This window comes from Homo sapiens, chromosome 13 (assembly GCF_000001405.40).
Source record: "Homo sapiens chromosome 13, GRCh38.p14 Primary Assembly".
In the NCBI taxonomy this organism is placed as follows: Eukaryota; Metazoa; Chordata; class Mammalia; order Primates; family Hominidae; genus Homo; species Homo sapiens.
Window position 1 is genome coordinate 87,800,799 of NC_000013.11, and position 10,717 is coordinate 87,811,515.

A 10,717-nucleotide genomic window follows, 5' to 3' on the forward strand; every position below is an offset into this window, starting at 1 on the left:
TTTTTCAAAGATCTTACTCATTTTCCCTAACATAAAATAATTACACATGATTTGCTTTTAATATGAATAAATTCCATCTATCCCAATCTAAAAACAGCCATATAATAACATTTAATATGAAATCTCTATTTCTTTTTATTTTAGTACTTGGATAAAAAATAAGACAATTCAAGGAAAATATCAGGGTGACTCAAATATGTCCTATATAATTCCAAGTGAAAAACACAAAAGACAGAATTTGTAATAACTTCTGACATTGAGATTTTATTAAGCAAAACACCACTTACAATTCTAGTCAAATTTCATTTTATTATGAAGAAATGTGTTTGGTGTTGTTTAGTAGTATTTTGTAGGCTTACTTAGCAGATGTCATTTTTGTTGCATAGGTAATATTTGTTCTAAACTTTGAGATTCTACAAACATTCACCTTTCAAAGGCACAGACACTCCTCTTATTTTGTACACATTGCAACACTTTGAACCTACAATGAAGAAAACCGAATGCCATTAAGTGAACACTTAGACAATTTTGGTAAATTTCAAAAGAACCCATCTATATGGTATCCCTGTATTACTTAAGAGTTTTTAAAAACACCTACTCTAAGCTATGCCTTTAAGATTTATAATTCGAGTGGAAAACAATGTTTTTCTTCTCAGTAAACTATCGCAAGAACAAAAAACCAAACACCGCATATTCTCACTCATAGGTGGGAACTGAACAATGAGATCACATGGACACAGGAAGGGGAACATCACACTCTGGGGACTGTTGTGGGGTGGGGGGAGGGGGGAGGGATAGCATTGGGAGATATACCTAATGCTAGATGACCAGTTAGTGGGTGCAGCGCACCAGCGTGGCACATGTATACATATGTAACTAACCTGCACAATGTGCACATGTACCCTAAAACTTAAAGTATAATAATAAAAGAAAAAAAAAAGAATACATATGTGATTATATGTGTTTTACGGCATTACCCCTAAGAATTGCCATCATGATTATAGAAAATTACATGCAATTCACAGCTGTGCTAAATATTAAGACAAATTTAGCTAGCTTAGATTCAAGATTTGATATTCCTAAGTCATTACTACTAATAAATTGGCTATGGTAACTAATTTTTACGAGGATATTTTATGAATGACTTATTAGTATATTTGTCTTAGATGACTGAAGCAGCCCACTAAAGTGTTTTACACTTTTCCTCTTGCATTCCTGCAAGGCAGCCCCTCTGTGTAGTTAAAGAAATGTTTCTCAAGTGTACTTCAAATCATATCACACTTGGAGTAAAATCAGAGACACAGCCTCAGTGCTTTAAAAGATACAGTTCACATTTCTAATCATAGTTTTACCAAGTTCTCAGCTGGCCCCATTTTCTCTGTCCATGTTTTATCTCTTGCTCCTAGAATATGAATCCATAGGAAAAAACATGAACTTTCACTGCTCTTTCCTGTCTCTGGGCTAGTGTATGTCCTTCTCTAGGCCTTTAATACTCTCTTTCGTCTTCTTTATTTTTTATCCTTCACAGTTCAGCACACATACCACTTTTTACAAAAGTCTTCCCTAATGTTCCCAAGTCCTAAGGAGACTTCCCACATAGACGTTCTCACACTTCCTTGCATTTTACACAGTTGACTCGTGAAAAACTCAGGGGTTAGGAGTGCTGACTCTTACGCAGTCAAAAATCAGTATATAGCTTTTGACTCCTTAAAGTCTTAACTACTGGCCGGGTGCAGTGGCTCATGCCTGTAATCCCAGCACTTTGGGAGGCCGAGGCCAGAGGGTCATGAGGTCAGGAGTTTGAGACGAGCCTGGCCAACATGATAAAATACTGTCTCTACTATTAAGATACAAAAAATTAGCTGGGTGTGGTGGCACGCGCCTGTAATCTCAGCTACTCGGGAGGCTGAGGCAGGAGAATCGCTTGAACCCAGGAGGTGGAGGTTGTAATGGGCCAAGTTCATGCCATTGCACTCCAGCCTGGGCCACAGGGTGAGACTCCGTCTCAAAAAAAAGGAGAAAAAAAATAAGAAAAAAGAAAAAAAATCTTAACAACAGTAGCCTACTGTTGACTGGAAGCCTTACAGATAACATAAACAGTTGATCAACACATATTTTGTGTGTTATACATTTGTTATACTATATTCTTATAATAAGGTAAGCTAGAGAAAAATGTTATTAAAAATCATAAAGAAGAGAAAATATATTTACTATTCATTAAATGGAAGTGGATCATCAGAAAGGTTTTCATCCTCGTCATCTTCAGGTTGATTAGGCTTAGGAAGAGGAGGAATTAGAGGGATTACTCTTTCTGTCTCAGGAGTGGCAGAGGCACAGGAAATTTTGACTATAAGTGAACCCACACAGCTCCAAGCCGAGTGGTTCAAGGGTCAACTGAACTACCTGTTTCATTTCTTAGAAAATAAGTTCCATGAGGGCCATGGACTTCGAGTTTTAAAATACCCATATCTGCATCATTAACTAACGTAGAAATACAAAATATAAGTATATGTCATAGAAAGTACACAGATTTTTTAAAGCACCCCTTATTCATTAAAGACTCCCATGTATATTTCAAAAAAAGCAGAAGAGGGGAACAAACTTAAATCAGTGAATTTTATAGTAGGAAATCATTTTAGACATTTAAAAATTCAGTTAGACTCTATTTTGTATTGTAGGAGATAAAACTGCAAAAATAGGAGATAAAACTACAAAAATAGTTTAGAATTGGCTGGGAGGGATATAGCTTTTTTTCTCTAACTGGTTGATGGTCAGATTATACTATTAATTGTTGTTTTAAGCCCATTTCATTGTTATTTTGACACGCTGAAAAATCTGCTGTGCCTTACAGTAAAGCATACCACACAAACTTAAACAAGGAAATACAGGAGTAGAAAAATAAGGGCAAGGAAATATGTAAGGAGAGTCATAGTGTTAGAATACAAACTGAAAGCTACAAAAGTAATCATCATTACTTGAGGTGAATAGAACTTTTGGTTATCAGATTCCTAGAAGACAAAGCAGAAAGGGAATTATTATTCAAAATAAAAATACTCAGTCCTATAAAATTCCAAGTGAAAAACACAAAATAAAGAACTTATAATAACTTATGACATTAAGATTTTATTAAGCATAACACCACTTAAAATTGTAGTCAAATTCAATTTTCTTTTAGGAAATGTGTTTGGCATAGTTTTACTAGTATTTTGCAGGCTTATTTAGCATATGTCACTTTTGTTGCATAGGTAGTATTTGACATGCTTAATTACACATATGAATTACTCAACATCACAGGTTTTTTTGTCTAAATGGTTTCTCATATACATGGCATGCTACTATATAGAGGAAAATATTCTCCTTGGCATGCTTGAAATAAAGATATTATGAAGTTTCAGAATTCCTTGCCTTAAAAAGTCTCTCCAAATAGGATGATGGCATAATGCCAAGAGTTTGCTAAGTACACACCTGCAAAAGCCTAAATAAGCAGCTCTGTTCTCTATTGCTCTGACTTAAAACAAAGATGAAATTAAAATTTGACAGCAGATGGAAGGAGTATGCATCGTTTTAGAATCTTCCATGAATATTGATTCTAGCAATAAAGATTTGTTAAGAACTAGATTGATTCGAGTTCAAAATACAATTTAGATTTATCAAAATACTTACATTAAGGGTATTAGCAAATTGTAAGAATAAAAGTTGTCTGGAATGGAGAACAGGGTGATGTAATAGCATAACTTTGCCACTAATGAAGGCTAAGCGATTCTTCCTATTCCCAAACTAGCAAGCAATGAACAGAAAAATGTTCATTCAATTGCTAGAATTTTTTAATCTAGATTTTCTTTATTTTCATAAACCCATACACATTATTCTCCAAACTGTTTAATGTCTTCTTCCACATCTGTATCTTTATTTTTGATTCTGTGTAGTTTTGCAAGTTTTCAACAACTAAAATTTTTCTTTTTAAAGAATTGCCTTTTAATGTTTAAATAATTTCCCTTCTTTTAGAGTTTATATTTACATCTGCTATAATTTCTGTTCTTTTTTCTTGCATCTATTTTTCTACATTTGTTTTGATCTTTACTAAATATTATGCCTTCAGCTTATGCATTTTATTACCATTTGTTTTCAGCAAGATTTACTAATTACACAGCTTGGTTTTATCATAGTTATAGATTGTTTTTTATATTTTAAAAATACACTATTATTTACATCTTAAATTTAAAAACAGAAATTAAGAAGTATTGCTGATGCCCTCTAAATTTAGCTAAGGTTATCACTCTGACTTCTCTCTGTAGGTGATCATACTTTTCAAATAAAAATAGTGACTTTAAATTGATATTTTTAGATACTTATTTAATAGTTCTTTAACTTTCATCTAAAAAGAATCTTTTCAATTTTTATGTATATTTCTTAACGTAATTCTTTTGTTTTATTAAGTCTATATGCTAAAAATTTTCTATTTCTTATTTTTATTTTATTTTTCGTGAATTTTCAAGGCCACACTGAATACTACATCAAACAGATATATATGAAATGTTTAAAAAGTTTAAGTAAGTTGTGCTCGCTTTGGCAGCACATATACTAAAAAGTTTATATAAGTTGTACAATTTCTGCCACTTCTTTGAGAATTTTTAATTTTTAATACATAAGAAAGTTACCTTTCACTGAATATGAAAATGTCGCACCATATTGTTATTCAACTCTATAGAAATATGATTTAATATGTAAATTCAAGTTGAATGTATTCTTTTCTGTAAAATTTTGTTTTATTCTATATTTATGGGGTTATGTATTTCTTTAATTTTGCAGGTGCAAATATTTACTATGTTAAGTCTAGTTTCTTTCCTCAGAAATCATTCTTTCTAGATTTCCGATAATTTAATTTTCAATTTTTCTTTCACTTCCTTTTAAAAAACATGGATTATTTCTAGGTGGAAAATTCATTTTCTCCGGCACATACCCAATACATGGTTCTTACAGTTGTAAATTGTATTTTTCACATTTGCATTCTAAGGAAGTTGATCCTTCCTTAGAAGGCTGTGTTTTATAAGAGTTACAGATTCTTTTGATGGTGAACACAACACAATGACACTTAGATAGATGAAAGGCAATTTTTCTTTGTTATTTTTGCCTCCAAATGAGAAAAGGCTGCCAGGCAGGGTCACACAGGGAGTTATACCAGAGACAGGGTAATAGCAAGCTGGAATCCTCAGGAGCAGCCTGTATATGGCAAGTGAAATAAGGTTAGCTACGTTTCGATGGATCCCTTTGTATGTTTCATTTGAAAAACTGTCCAGGTTCTGGGACATAGAGCCTGTCCCTATTCTGTGGTACTTGGAAAATCAGAAAATAAGTAGAATTGTTGATGTCTTCTTAATTTAAATAAAGTTATCACACTTTAACTTCCCTCTATTGGGGATCATACTCTAAAAATAAAACTAGTGACTTCAGATTGATGCTATTGGATAACAGTAGGGCTGTGAGGGTGGGTGCATAGTGGCGGGTATATGAGAGCCCAGTAAGGGAAGTGATTGGAGTGTGAATTTAATTAGCTGTGCAAGAAGGGGAGCTGATTAACCTCTAACCAATAATATTACAGTATTACTAGGTAATAGAACAAAACTTAAATTATGTTCTCTTCTGTTTTTAATGTGGATATAAAACTTACCAAAAATTTGGAATCTTACTAATCTCTTTTTCTATCTTTTTACACAGCTTCTGTCAGGACCTGGGGCATGTATTTGTCTATTAATTTCTCTACCAAATTTAGCTGTATTTAGGGGTAGAAAACAAAGAAAATTTTAATCACAATACTATGAGTGAGGACATGCAAAACTAGTAACATTTGAGGATGAGTTCGCCAGATAAAACCTCTAGTTAGTGAATATGGGAATTATAATCATCCAACATTGTTATTGATTACATTTTCTTTTTAGGGAATTTTGTGACTGAGAATCTCTTGTCTGAAATTAAGTTTTCATGTTATAAGTATCGTTATCTATATGTACTATTTTCTGTATCCTCCCTGTCACAGATCACTACTGAACATGGTATAATCAATACTCGAAATAATGAAATGTTATAAGTAAAAAAGCTCATAGAATTACATAAATTACACATTTTAATGCTTTCAAAGCCAATTCAGAGTACAATAATGCGTTGGTCTAATCAGAGCATTTATGTGAACAAAATTTACTCTTTTATTGCATGTATAGTCATGATTCAAATCACCTTCTACATATGAGCATATATTTGAGAAAATATTTTATAACTATCATAAAAATGTTAGACATTATTATTTTGGTTATTTTATCTGGCATCTAGACGTGAATTAGATTTAGTATGATTTGTACTTAGGAAATAACTTTATTATTATTTATATCAAAGGATCACAAAGAAATACACACACATATATATATATATATATATATATATACACTTTAATCCTTCGATTGTCGTACAGAGTTCTACCGATTTTCACAAAAAACTAATCAGATGACTTAGGGATACTCCAGATTCCACTACTTAACTAGTTCATTCAGTGTATCGTTTATTCTCTGAGCTTTGCTCTGCTCCTCAGAGACTTGTATAATTTCAAAATTAATTAAAAACTTATAATCACATAAACCATCTTCTTCTAAAAATCATCTTAATTTTTAAAATGAAGTAACCATGACATAGAAGGCTAAATTGGACTAAACAAAATGTGGCAGTATTCATAGTTATAGCATTTGAATAACCCCAGTCCTCTGATCTAGGCATGATGAACTGTATAATATGCTCTGTTTTATAGTTGCACTGAGGTAGAATATAAAAAAGTTCGGAAGCCATAACATGCTGAATCATTTGAAGGTTTATTTATTTAATACTAGTGATAATTAGGTATTTCAAAAAAGATTTTTTCCTCATGATATCATTTCTTTGTAGTTATAGTTATTCTGATCAATCTTAGTTAAATGAATTCTTGAAGAATATTTTAACATTAACAAAATGCGACCACGATAAATTTTACATCACCAAATAAAGAGCAAATCCTACAAGACAAAAACAATGTCAGAGCTGTCCTGTTATCATGAATACCCTTCAATTAATGCGTTTATAGCCATGCATGCTCATAGATAACAGTCCTAAAAACCCACCTACAACTTCCAAGGAAACACTCCTATAGCCACTCACATACACAAATGGAGAGTGAAAAAATACTCTAAAGCTCCAAGTATAATGGGAAACACTGAATATATTTTAAAATCTCACAGACATACTTAGAATTGAATAAGAGTAAATAGATTGTAAATTACTAATGGATAGGGTTGATTTCGAAGATGATCCTTCAGATTTTCAATGTATATTTAAAACTTTTATGGAAAGCTACAGGCTGAATATTCAGCTATAAATATCCTTCTGACTTGTGTAAGGTGGCAACTGCTGATCCATTTTTTTTTAATTGTCTTTTAACAAGCAAACCTCTTTTCTGTTGAAAAAGCATTTTCTTCTAGCATGTATTCTATATGCTTTGTTTCCTCCTTTATGCATTTCTCAACAAGAGTGACCCAGATGTGAAAGTTGTAGCATCATTTATATACCTCAGCATAAATTAACAGTCAAATTGGTATATAATTTTTATTTATTATTTCTCTTTTTCAATATATTTTGTGAAAATCTCTTACTGAATAGATTAACAATTCAGCTTTATAATCTCCTAGCGCTAATCAGAAATCATATTTATGTGTGTGTGTGTGTGTGACTTATCGATGTGTTGAAAATACATGTTGTTTTCCAAAATTTTAAATTGTTTAAACCATTTCCTAGGCATAGCAAACTAAAAAAGTAAAAATTTCTGGTAGGTTTTACAGTTTAAGACCCACACAGAAACAAAAAGGCTTTAACAGTCTTACAGGAGGTTTGAAAAAATACTTTCAATCAAAACTCTAATTCTGCTGCTCACTACTTACCACAATAACATATGTTCAATGACTAATTCTGAATGCAACTTACGTTTTCTGAATCCTACCAGGGTCCTTTGTGTTTAGAATCACTAGATAATTCAAAAGTGAAAAAGTTTATTCATCCCGCAGCTACTTATACATATTTGAAAAAAAAAAGCAAGAGAGAAGTTCAAAGTATAGAATTTGTAATTTATGGTAAATAGATTTTTGGCCTCAATTATTTTTATTCCTTTGTTTACTCCTTCCATCAATCCATCACAGATCCTTGCCCAATTGATAGAAAATGTTGTTTTCATGGTTTTTATTTGCCAAGGAAAGAGTAATATTTCACAAATACTTTTCTGTTTAAGAAAATAGATCTTGTCATTCATTTCCTGGATACTTATTACCTATGTACTATGTGCCAGACACTGTCCTGGAGCTAGAGTATGTTAAAATATCAACCACAAAAAAGACGCATGATCTTTGTTCTCCTCAAATTCACCATGTAGTAGATGAGACAAACATTAAGACTTACAAAAATGCATGTAATATTATAACTAAGAAAAAGCTTTGAAGAAGAAGTGAATATTCTTATGATGGCATAAAGGTATTTGAACAAATCAAGGAGGCAAGAGAAAAGATTTAGGAGACGACTAAACTCACTTCTGAATACAAAGGAGGAGTTAACTAAAGAAAAAAGTTGTGATTAACTTGAGTGGGAAGATGGGAGATAGCCTACGCATTAGTATCCTCTATTCTCCAATCATGAGATTCCTATTTATGTACGTCTAATCAATACGCGAGAGAACTTTTTCCATCAACTTTGTTGAAGGTATTCTCTGACACTTCAAGCAAAATATAAAAAAGAGAGTTCAGATGCTTCTTAGATATTGACATGCATAAATGTTAGTACTGATATTTGTGGCTTTCATTTCCAATGTGGCATTTCTAACAAATAATTGGCATAAATCTGTAAATTTTATTTCATTGTTTTCTTGGTGGTCTCTAAACTGAAAACAAAAGGTAAAATTTAGAAAATTCTATTAGCTATATTTAATTAAATATAATATGCTTAATTAAAATAGATGACTATATACCTGTGAATGGCTTTTTTCTCTGACGGTTAATGGTTTTCTTATTCACAGGCTTCATTGTCAGGATAAAAAAAGTAACAATACATATAAAGTATATCTAGACCAGGATCGATAAAAAATAATTCCTGATTTATCCCAACATCTTCTTGCCAACATATAATGCATATTCTCCTTATATACTAAAAATGCACTTGATACATGAAAAAAAATTTAGTACTGAGTTCCTTAGACATACATTTTCCAATTCATAATTGAAAATGTATATTGGTTAGTAGAGCAAATAATTTGAACTTTCAGAGCCTCTATGCCTTCACCTAAGGAATAGTTATAATAATAGTTAATAAAACTTATCCAATAATTAAATTAGGTAATTTATTTTAAAATCCTATAGCATATTTGCTTACAGAAATATGCACTCATTGTTTGTAGCCTATATTTGTAACTTAATATATAAATAACATAATTTATCATTGTTATTATAACTGATTAAGAATTGTTCATTACTTATTTTATAATTAAAGTCTGGGGGTTTTGACGGCCGGTTAGGGCAGTTTAAAACTCCCTGAAGGGAAACAGAGTCTCTTACTCACAGGAAAGAGAGAGAGGTGGCAGAGTTTCAGAAGAGAGGAAGACCAGACAGTTTCGCAATTCATACACACTCACCTTCCAGGATCCCGGTCGATGTCTCCAGTTGAAAAGGCAAAGGCTCCCTCCTCCCCCTCGCGGGGCTCGCGATGGGGGCATAGCGGGCTTCTTCAGTGCCCCGCTGCTCAGACCTCCAGGGGAGCATACAGACGGGCAGGCTGTGGGACTCCTACCCCAGGGCAGGGTCTAGGGGTGAATGTTTACAGCTCCTGAAGCCCCAGTGGGCATGTTACAGGATACTCTCTTAGTCTGCCATCTATAGGCGGCTCGTGTTAACCAGCTCAATTAGGCCCTCTACGTTGTGGCAAGAACAGAGGGCTTTCTGTATCTGGGTTCTTGCCTTGTTGTACCTGAAGAATCGGATCACCCATAGGCTTGGAGAATGAGTGCAAAGTTTTATTGAGTGGAAGTAGCTCTCCGCCCATGGGGCAGCCAGAAGGGAGATGGTTTTCCCCTGGAGTTGGGGTGCTCGGCAGCCCCGGCTCTCCCCTGACTGCCCAGGCCAACCTCCGCCTCCTCCCGCTGGTCCACGGCCTACTGGCTTCCGGGTGCCTGTCAGCGTGTCCTTCTGCTGGGGTGCTCCTATGGATGACCAGCGCTTGTGTCTTCTTCCCCTGATGTGTTGTTCATTAGGACGTCCAGCCACTTGTGTATCTGCCTGCAAGGGTCTTGGGTTTTTATAGGCCCAGAATGGGGGCATGGAGAGCCAGGGTGGTCTTGGAAAATGCGAAGTTTGGGCGGGAAAGCAGGTGTGCCTGTCCTGACCTAGGTTCCTGACCGTTGGAGCCCTAGCCAGAGACCACGCCCTCCTCTCCCCAGCACTTCCCTTTCCCTTTTCTGTATCATTTAAAGGGACCACGCTCTTCCCTTCCCAGCACTCCCTTATGAATTTTATAATTAAAATAAAGTCCACCATAACTCTTCAGGATGAAGCGTTAGAAAAATTCTTATTAATGTAAGAAACATTACCAGTATTACAACTGTCATTACTTCAGTCTAATATTAATTTAGATTATTCAAGATAATGGAATTAGACAAGCTAAGTAAATT

General features: G+C 33.8%; 1 long non-coding RNA gene across 1 annotated transcript, besides 1 other annotated feature; it reads right to left on the reverse strand.

The window, feature by feature from the left end:
• Positions 1-244: 244 nt before the first annotated feature.
• Positions 245-9,722, reverse strand: LINC00397 (long intergenic non-protein coding RNA 397). Its single transcript, NR_104059.1, has 4 exons — positions 9,686-9,722; positions 2,976-3,008; positions 2,212-2,276; positions 245-481 (listed from the first exon to the last, which is right to left on the reverse strand). It is a non-coding gene; the product is annotated as a long intergenic non-protein coding RNA 397 (long non-coding RNA).
• Positions 9,267-9,976: an enhancer, noted in NCBI's record as "H3K4me1 hESC enhancer chr13:88462320-88463029 (GRCh37/hg19 assembly coordinates)". NCBI's record gives its function as "activates a minimal SCP1, AML or CMV promoter by ChIP-STARR-seq in naive H9 embryonic stem cells {active_cell/tissue: H9 hESC(naive)}" and the evidence as "EXISTENCE:reporter gene assay evidence [ECO:0000049][PMID:30033119]".